This window comes from Homo sapiens, chromosome 2 (assembly GCF_000001405.40).
Source record: "Homo sapiens chromosome 2, GRCh38.p14 Primary Assembly".
NCBI lineage: Eukaryota > Metazoa > Chordata > Mammalia > Primates > Hominidae > Homo > Homo sapiens.
The window spans coordinates 74008542-74023332 of NC_000002.12; the positions used below are offsets into that span (position 1 = coordinate 74008542).

The window sequence follows — 14791 nt, forward strand, 5'->3', positions numbered from 1 at the left end:
GTATACCCTTTTTCCCCTGGGGGTTGATTGCAGATTCTACCCTGATTTCTATAAACAAAGACATCTTAATATTTCTGACAGTATGAGCTTGACCATCTTCCCCCTACTTTCTGTTGCTGAGGATCTACGGCCTTTTTTGAGATGCTAAAGATTAGACAAAAAGTAAAAATGACTAACTTTCTTCTATTCTGGCTGCCTTAGCTAGAGGAGAGTAGGAAGGGAGGGGTGGGGGGAGGTAACAGTATCTTGCCACAGAAATATTCCTTAAGAGGCAAACATTCCAAGGATAGGAAGATTAGGGTCTAAAGAAATCCTGGTTACCTCCGAGGCCTGGAACTTTTACGCCCTTGGTGCTTAAGTAATTGGATTTCTCAACCCCGCCTCCAGGCATTTTTCCCCCGTGTAATCCTAACCTCATGGGCTTTGCAAAGGAAACAAAGGCATTGAAAGGGTTTGCAACTTGTCCCTGACACTGAGCTCCTGAGCTGTGAGCCCTGCCGACTGAGTGTTCCTCCTTTGCCTCCTCTGCAGCATCCACCGTCTCTCTCAAAATCCTTGTCCCCAGGAGTCTGTTTTTCTAGCCTGCAGGCCTTGGTTCCTAGCCCTGCTAAGCAGATGGAATTTACAGAAGGAGCCGTTTCCTGCCAGTCCACCTTCCTGTACCTCGGGGAGGTGCCATCTCTGACCCTGCTGGCCACTCTGCAGATGGGGAAGAGCCAAGGGAGGCTGGTAACTCCTGTAGGAGGCAGAGAGAGGCCCTGGAAAGGGATTCTGAGCTGAGAACCCTGCCTGGATCCATAGACCAACTTTCTCTACTTCATGTTCTCCCTTGAGTGTGACCCTTTGGCCAAGTCATTCCTCTGATGGCTTGAATAGGCTCAGGCTGGGGTACAGAGGGCTGTCCCTACTGCATCAGGCCCTGCTGGACCCAGAGAGAGGAAACTGTGCCTTCACCACATGGATCATTATTGCCTTACACCCTAGTTCTAGGGGAGGAATACAGAAATGGGTTTTCAGGGGAGCCCTGGAGGTGGTGTCCAAGAGATGTCCACCATATTTTTCCTAGCACTGTGGATCTCTCTGCTCTGTCCTCTCCATCCTAGGACACTCTTCATGGCTTCAGTCCATCCCTAGTCCTGCCCCTTGTGCTTTGATCTCAGCTTTAAGACCTAGACTGAGCAGAGAGGGCCTCTAAGGACATGCTTTGTGAAGCATGGGCCCAGGGCTCTATGTCAATCATCCAGGGAATGTGTAAGATGCCAGGGGGCTGCCCAGCCAGGACAGCTGTCTACTAGAATCAAACCCATGGGCTCCTGCTGCACAGTTAGGTAGAATGGGCTCAAGACAAGGGTGGCATAGGGGCCTCAGGTATGAGGGCTGGAAGCTCTGGGCAGGTGGGCTGTGTGGCATCTCCCTCTTCACTAGCCCTGCCACTTGTCCCTGAGCCAGGTGCTACCTGATGGTTGAGCTGTATGGGGACCTCTGCCCTGTGGCCTTTCCTCCCACTGTTATTTCTCCTTGGTTTCCTGTTTTCCAGCTGTGGGTTCCCAGAGGCGTCATTTGGACCCTGGGTAGTAGTTAGGGCTGAGCTCTGGGGTTGTGTGGTTGGAGCGGCGTGTGTCTTAGGGCTGTACTGGCAAGTGGGCCAAAGCAGTCTAAACACCCTGGCTAGGAGCCAGAAACCGGGGCTCCGTGTCCAACCCGGGAAGCCTGGGAAGCTCCTCCCCGTCACCTTCCAGATGCTGCCGCCTCCATGTGGGGGGTGTTGCTCCCCGCTGGGTCTTTGCCCGAGGTCTGGGGGAAGCCGGATGTGGAGGAGGACCTGGGTGGGTGCCAGAGCACTTCATCCCTAAGCTCACCTCACCTAAATGCTCCCACCCCCACAGCCACCACCGGCACAGGCAGGACCATGCTTCAACTTGCCAAGAGTGTTTCCAGGGACTGGTCCCTCTGGTTCAACGAGTTTGGTGGTTCTCAGCACCAACTGCTTATTGGAATCATCTGAGTAGATTTCAGAAAAGAAACTGTCAATGCCTGGCCCCAGCCCCTGAGAGTCTGCTGTTATTGGTCTCCAGTGGAACCTGGGCCCCAGCATTTTTCAAAGCTCCCCAGGTAATTTGAATGTGCAGTCAGAGTTGAAAGCAGCTGCCATATCCAGTTTGGGTCTCCCTGCCTCTCCCATGTCCCTGGGTTGCCCCAGAAATTTTTTCTCATTCACTGATAATTTTATTGATCAATACAGAGTTTGCAAAAGTGAAGACAGACATGTCAGACCAAACACTGGATTCAGTGTTCTGTTCCATGAGACTGTTCCATGAGTTCATAGTTATTAAAACCAGAACTTAAGCGGGAAACTATAGCAAATGATAGAAACTGAATTTTCTCCTCAGTTTTTAATTTTTAAAAACTTTTAAGGCTGGGTGCAGTGGCTCATGCGTGTAATCCCAGCACTTTGGGAGGCTGAGGTGGCCAGATCATGAGGTCAGGAGTTGAAAACCAGCCTGGCCAACATGGAGAAACCCCGTCTCTACTAAAAATTATCTGGGTGCGGTGGTGGGTGCCCATAATCCCAGCTACTAAGGAGACTGAGGCAGGAGAATCGCTTGAACCCGGGAGGCAGAGGTTGCAGTGGGCCAAGATCGTGCCACTGCACTCCAGCCTGGGCGACAGAGAGAGACTCCGTTTCAAAAAAAAAAAAAAAAAAACACTTTAAAAATTGAAGTATAGTATACACACGGAAAGGCATATGCTGTGTACAGTTTGGTGAATTTTCAGAGTAAATGCCTGTGTAATCAGCACCTGGATCAAGAAATAAGTACCTTCACCCCGTTCCCATTGCCTAGAATTTCTACGGCATTTGGACAAAGGTCAGGCCAGGCCATAGTACAGTAGTACGTGCTGGCTTTGGGCCTAGAGGGCTTCAGCTTGGCCTCCACTGGAATACCTTTAAATACTTTTCACACCTATGTGGGTGCTCCTGAAACTGAGTGGGTTCCCCCTGTGATAGGGCACAGGGTAGGGGCACCCTTCCAGCTCCTCCCCGGTGTCACTCTCTCCCTTATCACCTTTAGTTTCTTTTCTACCTGGGCCTTAGGTGTCCCAGTCCCCTATCTTCGGTGAATCCAAAAATCCATATCCTTTTTTTTGCCTTGTATTCTGTTTTTTGATTTTGTAAGTAATACATATTCTTTGGAAAAATTAGAAAATAGAAATAGGGCTGGGTGTGGTGGCTCATGCCATAATCCCAGCACTTTGGGAGGCCAAAGTGGGAGGATCACTTGAGGTCAGGAGTTTGAGATCAGCCTAGGCAACATAGCGAGACCCTCATCTCTACCAAAAGGAAAAAAAAAAAAGAAAGGGAGCAAAAGAGAGGAATTTGTCCATAATTTCACAGTCCAGTTAGTCATTTTTTTGTTTGTTTGTTTTTTGTTTTTTGTGAGACAGGGTCTGGCCCTGCCGCCCAGGTTGGAGTGCGGTGGCTCGATCTCGGCTCACTGCAGCCTCCACTTCCCAGGCTCAAGCCATCCTCCTGCCTCAGCCTCCTGAGTAGCTAGGACTACAGGCGCATGCCACCAGGCCCAGCTAATTTTTGTATTTTTTGTAGAGACAGGGTTTTACCATGTTGCCCAGGCTGGTCTCAAACTCCTGAGCTCAAGGGATCCCACCCCTCCTTGGCCTCCCAAAGTGTTACAATTACACTTTGGGATGGCATGAGCCACCTCCTCAGGCCCCATTAGTCATTGTTAACCGGAGTATCCCTGCAGACTTTATTCTATGCATATTTCATATCTGTTTAGTGTCGTTTGTAGAAATGGAGTCATGCTGCATTGTAGCACACTTTCCTCTGTGTAATAACTAGCAGTCATTTATTGAGCATTTACCATGTGTGGGGCAGGCACACAGGGGTAAAGTTTTCATAGTTCTCTCTTAGTTTTCAGGACAGCTCCGAGGCAGGTGGTAGCAGCCCCACCTTTCAGAAAGGAAACTGAGATTCAGTCCAGGAGCTTGACCAGAGGTTGATGTTTCACAAGGGATGAAGCTGGAATCCAAGCCAAGGATATCTGACATTAGAGCTGATGCTTGTGTCTGTAGACTGCTGCCTCCCTCCTAGGACCGTCTTTGCATGTTGAACTCATTTACCAAATATGTATTGAGTAGAGGACATCCTTTTCCTTAGTATTTTTTCCTTTCCACTTTAATGTGAATGACTCTAGTGTTTTACACTTAAGTGTGGGTATTGCTGATTGTTTGAGGTCTTCTGGTTGTTGGTTTGAATTCTTCTATATCATGTTGAAGAAATGGTTTCATTACATTTTATTAAGAAGTTTTTTTTTCCAATTAGTAGTGGATGTTTGCTTTTGTCATGTCTGTTTAGCATGGTTTGAAGATCAAATGATATTTCTCCTATTGAATTGTCTTTGCATTCTTTGAATATACTATACTTGGTAATGGGGTGTTTTTTTTTTTTTTTTGAGACAGAGTCTTGCTCTATTGCCAGGCTGGAGCGCAATGGCATGATCTCGGCTCACTACAACCTCTGACTCCCTGGTTCAAGGGATTCTCCCATCTCAGCCTCCCGAGTAGCTGGGATTACAGGCACATGCCATCATGCCCAGCTAGTTTTTTGTATTTTTAGTAGAGATGGGGTTTCACCATGTTGGCCAGGATGGTCTCGATCTCCTGACCTCATGATCCGCCCACCTCGGCCTCCCAAAGTGCTGGGATTACAGGCATGAGCCACCGCGCCTGGCCTGATGGGGTATTTTTTTAACATGCTGTTTGATTTGATTTATTAACATAGGAGTTTTGCATCTATATTTATGAATCAGATTGACCTATAATTTTCCTTTTGTGTTTTTGTTGTCAGATGTTAGTATTAGAATAATAGTAACTTCATATAATGGACTGTGAAGGCTTTTCTTCTTTATTCTTTGGTATAATTTAAATAGTACTGCTTAAATAATAATTCGATTCTTTTTATTGGGGCTGGGCGCAGTGGCTCTCACGCCTGTAATCCCAGCTCTTTGGGAGGCCGAGGTGGGTGGATCACGAGGTCAGGAGATCGAGACCATCCTGGCTAACACAGTGAAACCCCGTCTCTACTGAAAATACAAAAAAAAATTAGCCGGGCGTGGTGGCGGGTGCTTGTATTCCCAGTTACTTGGGAGGCTGAGGCAGGAGAATGGTGTGAACTGAGGAGGCGGAGCTTGCAGTGAGCCGAGATCGCACCACTGCCCTCCAGCCTGGGCGACAGAGCGAGACTCCATCTCAAAAAAAAATAGTAATAATAATTCCATTCTTTTATGAGGGGTGGGTCTTTGCAGCTTTCTGATCTCCCCTCTACTCCCCATAACTAATGTTATCAAATATTTACTTTGTATTTTCCATAGAAATGATCCTTTTCAAATTTATTAACATAATATGTCTACAGCTACTGCTTTTCAGTTCCCTCAGTAGCTGTGGTTTTTTTTTAACTTTCTTCATTTCTAACATTGTATATTTTTTCTTTTTCTTCCATAGCTTTGCTGGAGTTTTATGTAATTTAAAAGCACACAGATCTGTCAGTTGTGCTGTTTTCTAAAGTATTAATTTCTACTGTAGTCTTATATAAATTGTCATCTTTTCCTTAGGTTTATTTGGTATGTCCTTTTTTCTGGATTCTCAGTTGGATCCTTAGCACATTTTTTCTATTTTTTTCTTCTTTGATAACAAATACATTTAAAAATATGACTTTCACCAAGTTCCACTGTGGCCTAATTCTCTTGGTTTTGATATTTTATGTCTGGAGTTCTTGGAGAGGTTTCGATGATATACCCAGCATGAGAATTCCGAGCCCCGATTTAGCCTGACCACCCTTCCTCCCAGTAAGGGCCCTGAGGAGAGTCCCTGTGCATGGCTTGGTGGCACAGCTAGGCAGTGCAGCACTTGGTGACTCCCTTGGGCTCTGTCTCTAAACCCCCAAATAGGGACCCTAGTAATAGCTTACCAGCTTAGCCACCAGGACCTGTGGAATTTTTTTTTCTTTTTCTTTTTTACCCTAAGCAAAATCAGTTTGAATTTATTGCCTAGGATTAGAGCATATCCTAGGCCGAAATGGAAGTTTTGGTAGTATTTAGAAAAGCCTCGTACATTAGCACCAGAAGAAATGAAGCTATATGCTGGGGCAGTGAGAGAAAAAAAACTGAGACTTTGACCCAGAGTTGATGGCCTTGCTGAGCTGGTCTAGGCTGCAGGCTAAAGGCTTGCTCCCTGCATCTTTCATGAGCCTCTAGAAAATATGGTCCAGTTGGGATCCTTCAGTCCATGAAGAGTGTCCCAGGATGGAGAGAACAGAAGAGAGGGACCCACAGTGCCAGGAAAAATGTGGTGGACATCTCTTAGACACCACCTCCTGGGCTCCACTGAAAACCCATTTCTGGATTTCTCCCTTAGAGTGCAGAGTATAGGGTAACAGTGATCATGTGGTGAAGGCACAGTCTCCCCTCTCTGGGTCCAGCAGCGCCTAGTGCAGTAGGGACAGCCCTCTGTGTCCCAGTCTGAACCTGTTCAAGCCATCAGAGGAATGACTTGGCCCAAGGGTCGCACCCAAGGGAGAAGGTGCAGTGCCTTGGGGGAAGATATTCTTACCCTTTATCCTAACTCCTTAGAGAGCCGTGATGGTCAGGAGAAAGGGATAGGCAGGGAGAGGAAGAAAGGATGGACTTTTGAGTTCAACCAAGAAACCAATGGTAGCGGATTGTTTTTTTCCAAAATGCAGAAAGTTTTGAATTTTAAATGAGAATAATGTACGCCCATTTAAATAAATCAATATAAAAGTACATAATTAGAAACTGAGAATCCCTATTTCTTCTCCATCCCAGTATAATCACTATTAACAATTTATATATATCTTTCCAGACTTAAAAATGAGTACATGAACTTACTGCCTTCCTGCAGTAATGTGTTTGTACCCTACTTATTTTTGAGTAGTCTTTTATTCGCTCATAAATAGGTTGAAGACACCTTTCCATGTCAGTACATCTGTCTTTGCCTTTTACATGACTATTGAATATTTCATTTTATGGCTGTATTATAATTTAACTTCTTATTGATGGACATTTACAGTTCTAATTTTTTTGCAATTATAAATGTTGAGGTTATCAATATATTTGTATATAGATTTTTTTGGTTACTTAAGTGTTTGTATAGAACAAAATCATACAAATGAAATTTTAATTGACATTACCAAGTTACTCTCCCCAAAGGTAATTTGATAATATCTATCAAATTTACCTTCCCACCAACACTGAGTGAGGAATTATCAGTCCTTAATTTTTGCCATTTGGCTAGGTAAAATATCTCATTTTAATATCTTCTATTAGTAAAATTGAGAATGTTTTAAAACGTTAGCCATTTTGCATTTATTCTGTGTATTACCTATGTCCATTGCCTATTACATCCATATTACTCTTAGATTGTCTTTTTATTGATCCACAAAAGTTCTTAATATATTATCAGTATATTAAGATATATTATCAATATTAATTTCTTTAAAAAAAAATTCAGGCTGGGCGTGGTGGCTCATGCTTATAGTCCCAGTGCTTTGGCAGGCCAAGGCAGGAGAATTGCTTGAGGCCAAGAGTTCTAGATCAGTGGGGGCAACATAGTGAGACCCCATCTGTACAAAAAATGAACTTGCTTGAGCCCAGGAGTTGGACACTATAGTGTGCTACGATCAGGCCACTGCACTCCAGCCTGGGCTACAGAGCAAGACCCTGTCTCTTTAAAAAAAAAAAAAAAATTCAATGGACTGTTACTTACTCATGTATGCCAGGCACTGTGCTGTTAGGTAGGGATAAAGAAAAAAGAGTGACATGATTCTTACATGCATTATGATAAACATTATCCAAAAATGTAGGCCAGGCACAGTGGCTCTTACACCTGTAATACTAGCACTTTGGGAAGCTGAGGCAGGAGGATCACTTGAGGTCAGGAGTTCCAGACCAGCCTGGCCAACATGGTGAAACTTTGTCTCTACTAAAAATACAAAAATTAGCCAGGCGTGGTGGTGCATGCCTGTAGTTCCAGCTATTTGGGAGGCTGAGGCAGGAGAATCGCTTGAGCCTGGGAAGCGGAGGTTGCAGTGACCCAAGATGGTGCCACTGCACTCCTGCCTGGAGAACAGAGTGAGACTCTGTCTCAAAAACAAACAAACAAACAAAAAAATAAAACCCACAAACCCAATAAAAATGTATAGGTTCTCCTGTCTTTTTTTTTTTTTTTTTGCTTTTACTATTTAATTGACACATAATTATAAATATTTGTGGGGTACAGTATGATGTTTCAATGCATGTATATAATGTATAATCATTAAATCAGGGTAATGAGAATATCCATCACCTCAAACATTTATTAATATTATTTTGTGTGTGTGTTGAAAACATTCAAAATTTACTCTTCTAGCTATTTGAAAATATACAATAAACCAAGCACAGTGGCACACTCCTATAATCTCAGCTACTTGGGAAGCTGAGGCAGCAGAATTGCTTGAGGTGGGAAGTTCAAGACCAGCCTATGCAACAAAGTGAGACCCCTCTCTGTATAGCAAAAAATTTAAAATTAGCCCCGCACGACATTGTATGCCTGTAGTCCCAGCTACTTGGGAGGCTGACATGGGAGGATTGCTTGAGCTTAGGAGTTTGAGGCTGTAGTGAGCTATTTTCACACCGCTGCACTCCACTCCACACACATACAACCAAACAATAAATTGTGAATTATAGTTGCCCTATGGTGCTATAGAACACCGCAACTTAGTCCTTCTATCTGGCTGTGCTGTTTAATGTGTTAACCAACCTTTGGGTATTTCCCCTGCACCCCTGCCCTCCCCAGCCTCTGATAACCACTGTTCTTCTCTCTGTTTCTATGAGATCAACTTTTTTTAGCTTCCACATTTGAGTGAGAACATGTGGTATTTATCTTTCTGTCCCTGGCTTATTTCACTTAACATATCCTCCAAGCTCATCCATGTTGCCACAAATGACAGTATTTTGTTGTTGTTGTTTTTTTAATTGCTAACTAGTATTCCATTATGTGCACGTACCACGTGTTCTTTATCCATTGACTGATACTTCGGTCGATTCCATATCTTGGATGTTGTCAATACTGCCGCAGTAAACATGGGAGTACAGACATCTCTTTGACACACCTATTTCAATTCTTTTGGACGTATATCCAGAAGTGAGATTGCTGGATCATACGGTAGTTCTAGTTTTAGTTTTTTTGAGAAACCTCCATGCTGTTTTCCGTAATGGCTGTACTAATTTACATTCCCACCAACAGTCTGTAAGAGTTCCCCTTTCTCCGCATCCTCACCATCATTTATTTTTTGTCTTTTTCTTAACAGCCTTTTTAACTGGGATAAGATGAAACCTCTTCTGTCTCTTTTTTTTTTTTTTTTTTTTTTTGAGACGGAGTTTTGCTCTTGTCGCCCAGGCTGCAGTGCAGTAGCACAATCTCGGCTCACTGCAACCTCCTCCTCCCGGATTCAAGCAATTCTCCTGCCTCAGCCTCCCGAGTAGCTGGGATTACAGGCATGTGCCACCGTGCCCGACTAATTTTGTATTTTTAGTAGAGACGGGGCTTCTCCATGTTTGTCAGGCTGTTTTCGAACTCGCGCCCTCAAGTGATCGGCCTGCCTTGGCCTCCCAGAGTGCTGGGATTACAGGTGTGAGCCACCGTGCCTGGCCTTCTTCTGTCATCTTAAGTGAGAAAACATAGTATAGCTTTCATCGTTATGAGGGTTTTGATACTAACTTCTGTTACGTTTTGAAAAAAATTTTGGCCTGTTTGTCTTTCATTGTGTCTATCATAAAAATTTGATTTTTATACAACGAGAATTCATCAGTATTTTGGCTTTTCTTACTTAAGTTTTATTTTAGATGTTCAGATTTCTAAGGTGAGATTTATTTTTGCATGCGATATAAGATAGGGATTGAACTTTTCCTAAATAGAAAGCCTGTTATCCCCAATCTATTTATTGGGTATTTGTAGTTTCCCTTGTAGTGTATGAATTCTACCTTAAGCATTTCATAAGTACTCTTACAGTCATGGGTGTTTTAAGGCCTCTTTTTACTTCCATTGACTTATTTGTCTGATTCTGTGTATTTCATTGTTTTAATTACCACCATTTTTATATAATACTTTGGTTTAAAACATACTTCTTACTTTTTTTTTTTTTTTTGGCATTTCTTTCTCCAAATAAGCTTATAAACAACTTACCATGTTCTGCGAAAAATACTGGGATTTTTCAGTTGGAATCACATGAAACGTACAGGTTATTTTGGGGAGAATAGATAGCTTTACAATGAATCTTCCTATCCAGAGAAAGGGAAGTAGACCTTTCCGTTTATTCTAGTCTTTTTTGTGTGTTCATCAAAGTTTTAAGGCCAGGTGTGGTGGCTCATGCCCCATAATGCCAGTGCTTTGGGAGGCTGAGGCGGGAAGACTGCCTGAAGCCAGGAGTTTGAGATCAGCCAGGGTAACATAGTGAGACCCCCCGCCAACCCTCATCTCTACAAAAAATAAAAACTAGCTGGGTGTGGTGGCGCATGCCTGTAGTCCCAGCTACTTGGGAGGCAGATGTGGGAGGATCGCTGTAGCCCAGGAGTTGGAGGCTGCGGTGAGCTATGATCTGGCCACTGCACTCCAGTCTGGGCGACAGAAGGAGACTCTGTCTCTAATAAAAACCAAACAAACAAAATAAATGAAACGTTTTAAGGTTTTCTTCTTACACATTTCTTGTGAAGTTTCTTCCTAGATATGCTGTAGCTGCTGTTGTTGCTGTTGGGAATGGGATCTTTTCTGTTATACTTTGTATCCCATCTTTGCCCGCATATTAGAAATGCAGCTGCTCTGTGCTGCCTCTTCTGACACTTCTGTCCCTTTCTCCCTCAAGTCCTCATGGTATATTGTCTGTACCTCCGTGGCAATACTGTGTGCCTGAGTGTGAGTTCCCAGTGGTGGGGTGCTCATCTCACTCCATTTCATGTCACCAGTACCTGGCACAAAGCCTAGCATGCGGTAAATCCTTTTAATAAACGCCGTGGCATCAGATTGATGAGAGGGACAGTGAGCTTCACCTCTTCAAAGTGTGACAGCCTGGGCCAATGTGAGCAGCAGAATCTCAAGCAGCCCTGGCTCCAGGCCCTGCAGGCTGTGATCTGGATAACAGATTGGGCACCCTCCTTGTCCCCGCAGGAAAAAGGAGGTCCTGGGCCATTTTTCCACGTGCAGACATCAGGGAGGAGCCCTCTGAGCCTCTATCTCATTATTATCCTGAGACCCACAGCCCCCTTGTTGTTAGCCCTCATTAGTGCTAACTAGTTGGGAGAACTGCTTTCTTAGCTTCCAATCATTTCAAGGTAGCACAAACAAACTTATCTGCAGCTTCCCTTAGGGGATGAGGACTCATCAAGGCTGGAAGCAGAGCTTGTACAGAACATTGTGAGATGGGTTCACACCTATGTGCCCAGTCACCTTCTCTCATATGGTAGTGCCTTTCTTTTTTCTTCTACTATTCTCCTCCAGAGTATATGCATCCCCCCAACCCAGTATGTCCTACGTGAAGTTTATTCCTATCCGTGTGCTAATCTTTACCATAGCGTTTGCATTTGTTTTTCCCTTGAGACAGAGTCTCACTCTGTCACCAAACCTGGAATGCAGTGGCATGATCTTAGCTTACTGCAATCTCTGCCTCTGGGTTCAAGTGATCCTCCCACCTCAGCCTCCCTAGTAGTTGGGACTACAGGTGCATACCACCACACCCAGCTATTCTTTGTATTTTTTTAGAGATGGGGTTTCACCATATTGCCCAGGCTGGTCTTGATTTCTGGGGCATAAGTGGTCTGCCTGCCCAAAGTGTTGGGATTACAGGCATGAGCCACAGTGCCCAGGCTTGGTGTTTGCATTTTATATGTAAGCTTTTGTTTGTAATTGGGGAATGGCAGGCACTATTCCTTGATGGAGCTGTCTGGGGCATGCCAATTCACTCTGTACCCTTGGCAGTGGTTCCAGACTCTCAGGTCCCTGCCCCCACTGGTCTCTGCTGCCCCTGGAGCAAGGATGGTGATGTCTACCTGCCTTGGAGGGACCCAGGAACAAGGGAACTCCCACCTCTTGTTCAAGGGCTTGAGGGCTATGCCCTTGGAGAGAAGGGAATCCCTGCTGTTGTTAAGCAGGGGTCAGGATTTCTGCCTCTCAACATGCATAAAAAGAAGGTGGGAGTGAGGACGTGAGCTGATTTCTAATCCCTCTCTAGCAGTTGTGCATCTGGTTCAGCGTGTCCCGGGGTTTCCCTGGGTTTTGCTTGACCGCAGCAGTAAGCTGTTCCTCATTTATCCCGTGGTCTGTGCTCACCCTCCCCTTCCCACTCACTCATCTCCCATGCTCAGGGTGGCAGAGGACATAGAAATGCTTCTCTGGCTCCTCTGCTGGTTTGTTTTAATCCCTGGGAAACATTGGAACCAAGAGGACACTCAAGAAATACTGGATTGGGGAAAAGATCTGGAAGTATTGCTCTATCTGCCCCTATCCCCTGCTGTTGGTTTCTTACTTCATCTCCCAGTGCCCACCTGGGGCCTCTGAGTCTCCCCAGCCAGGTGGCCCTGAGGCTCCCCATGAGGCCCCAGCTGCATCCACAGCTGCATCTCTGCCAGCTCTGGAGGAGCTGCTTTCTCAGGGTGCTGAGCAGAGACTCTGACAGATGGACCTCCATGAACCGATGGAGCTGTTCCAGATGCCTCCTTACAGAGCAGAGCGCATTCTGGCAGTGAGGCCACGATGCAGGGCTGCCTAGGGCTTTAGCCCACCCGTTGGACAAAGTCTGTTTCTACACTGCCACCTCCATCCATGTTTTGGCGTTTCAGAGAGCATCAGCACTGACCACTGAATGGCCAGGCCTGCATGTGCATATGGGAGGTGGGAAGAGACTACTGTCCCTGGTCAGCCTGTAAGAACCTCAGTTCACCTGGTTTCTGAACCAGCCGAGGCCTTCCCCTCATCTGCACTCACCCTCAACCCCATAGGATTATGGGAAGGGGTTCTCAAAAGGTCGTTCAGGGGCCACCTGGGTCAGAATCCCTTCCATGGTCAGGCAGCGTTGATCTCTGGTGGGACCTGGGAATCTGCATCCATAACCAGCTTCCTACAGGTGATTCCCACGCCCAATGGAGTTTGAGAACTGCTGGCCTGTGAACTAATGTTAACAAAAGAGGCTGCCTGTTTGGGGCTTCCAGTACTTGATCAGGACTGAAAAGATATGCCTTTAAATGCCATGATGGTTTGTGAAAAGGCCAGGTGCTATGCAAACACTTGTGAAAACACAGGAAGACATTTCAGATATGATCAAACTCTAGGAAATAGTTAAAACTTTTTTTTGCCATTGTCTATTACAAAGAATAAAAATTCACTGTAGAAAAATCAGAAAGTTCAGATAAGCAGATAGAGAAAAATAAAAAAGTCCATAATTTTTCTACTCAGAGAGAACTCCTGTTACTATTTCAGTCTTTCTAGGACACTTTTTTTTTTTTTTTTTTTTTTTCCATTTTAAATGTTTCTGGTCTTTTCCCTCTGGGATTGTCAAAATAATACATGTTTATTGTAAAACTATTTCTTTTCTGATTGGCATAAAAATGAGTGCAAAATGTTTGATTTGCAAATCTTTCCTTGCTATGTTTAGTTGTGATCTTTTTTCTTTGTGAATATATTTTTATTTCCTTTATTTTTTGTGTATGCTTTTTTTATGAATGGTAAGACAGCTTCATGTATTAGTGGTATTAACTCTTTATCATGCTTTGGCAAGTATTGCAAATTTCTTTTAATGTATGTTTGGGGGGTTTTTTGTTTGTTTTTTGTTTTTTTGTTTCTTGAGACAGAGTCTCACTCTGTTGCCCCGGCTGGAGGGTTTTTTTTTGTTTGTTTTGTTTTTTGCCAAACTTTTTTTTTTTTACATGCTTGTGTGATCAAATCTAGCTCCAGTAGTTAATCGGTTTATTATTTTTTTTTCTTTTGGTTGTGCCAGACAGAACACAGAACAGGCACTGCTTTTGCAAATTAAGAGGAATTGAGGGGCAATTAGGCAGGTATAGGCCAGACCAGTGCTTCTCCACTTTATCTTCTTCATCCAGATAACCTGGGATTCTTACTACAATGCATTTTCAAATTCAGTGAGTCTGAGATGAGGCTGAGAGTCTGCTTTTTATTTTTTTTATTTTTTTGAGATAAGAGTCTTGCTCTGTCGCCTAGGCTGGAGTGCAGTGGCATGATCTTGGCTCACCGCAACCTCCACCTCCCAGTTCAAGCGATTCTCATGCCTCAGCCTCCCAAGTAGCTGGGACTACAGGCACTCGCCATCACGCCTGGCTAATTTTTGTATTTTTTGTGGAGATGGGGTTTCACCAAATTGACCAGGCTGGTCTTGAACTCCTGACCTCAAGTGATCTGTTGACCTCTGCCTCCCAAAGTGCTGGGATTACAAACGTGAGCCACTGCGCACGGCCTTATTCTGCATTTTTTAACCTCTGAGGTCATGTTGATGCTGCTGTTCCTTGGACCACATTTTTGAGTAGCAAGGGGCCAGGAGTTTCCAAACCTGGGTGACCATCAGAGGTACCTCATCAGCATTGATATTAATTAATTTTCAGATATGTAGTTTGATTTATTTTTATTTTTATTTAATTTCGAGACAAGGTCTTGCTGTGTCACGTAGGCTGGAGTGCAGCGGTGCTGCGATCATGGCTCACTGCAGCCTCCACCT

General features: G+C 44.4%; 1 protein-coding gene across 16 annotated transcripts in view, besides 5 other annotated features; it reads left to right on the forward strand.

Moving 5' to 3' along the window:
- TET3 (tet methylcytosine dioxygenase 3) overlaps positions 1-14791 on the forward strand; it is a 151868-nt gene that overhangs the window by 24911 nt on the left and 112166 nt on the right. The gene's annotated exons all lie outside the window — the stretch shown is intronic.
- Positions 201-1159: an enhancer, noted in NCBI's record as "H3K27ac-H3K4me1 hESC enhancer chr2:74235869-74236827 (GRCh37/hg19 assembly coordinates)". NCBI's record gives its function as "activates a minimal SCP1, AML or CMV promoter by ChIP-STARR-seq in primed H9 embryonic stem cells {active_cell/tissue: H9 hESC(primed)}" and the evidence as "EXISTENCE:reporter gene assay evidence [ECO:0000049][PMID:30033119]".
- Positions 12520-12599: a silencer, noted in NCBI's record as "silent region_11651". NCBI's record gives its function as "represses an Ori minimal core promoter by ATAC-STARR-seq in GM12878 lymphoblastoid cells {active_cell/tissue: GM12878}" and the evidence as "EXISTENCE:reporter gene assay evidence [ECO:0000049][PMID:35858748]".
- Positions 12780-12829: an enhancer, noted in NCBI's record as "active region_16042". NCBI's record gives its function as "activates an Ori minimal core promoter by ATAC-STARR-seq in GM12878 lymphoblastoid cells {active_cell/tissue: GM12878}" and the evidence as "EXISTENCE:reporter gene assay evidence [ECO:0000049][PMID:35858748]".
- Positions 12780-13280: a biological region, named in NCBI's record as "H3K4me1 hESC enhancer GRCh37_chr2:74248449-74248948".
- Positions 12781-13280: an enhancer, noted in NCBI's record as "H3K4me1 hESC enhancer chr2:74248449-74248948 (GRCh37/hg19 assembly coordinates)". NCBI's record gives its function as "activates a minimal SCP1, AML or CMV promoter by ChIP-STARR-seq in naive H9 embryonic stem cells {active_cell/tissue: H9 hESC(naive)}" and the evidence as "EXISTENCE:reporter gene assay evidence [ECO:0000049][PMID:30033119]".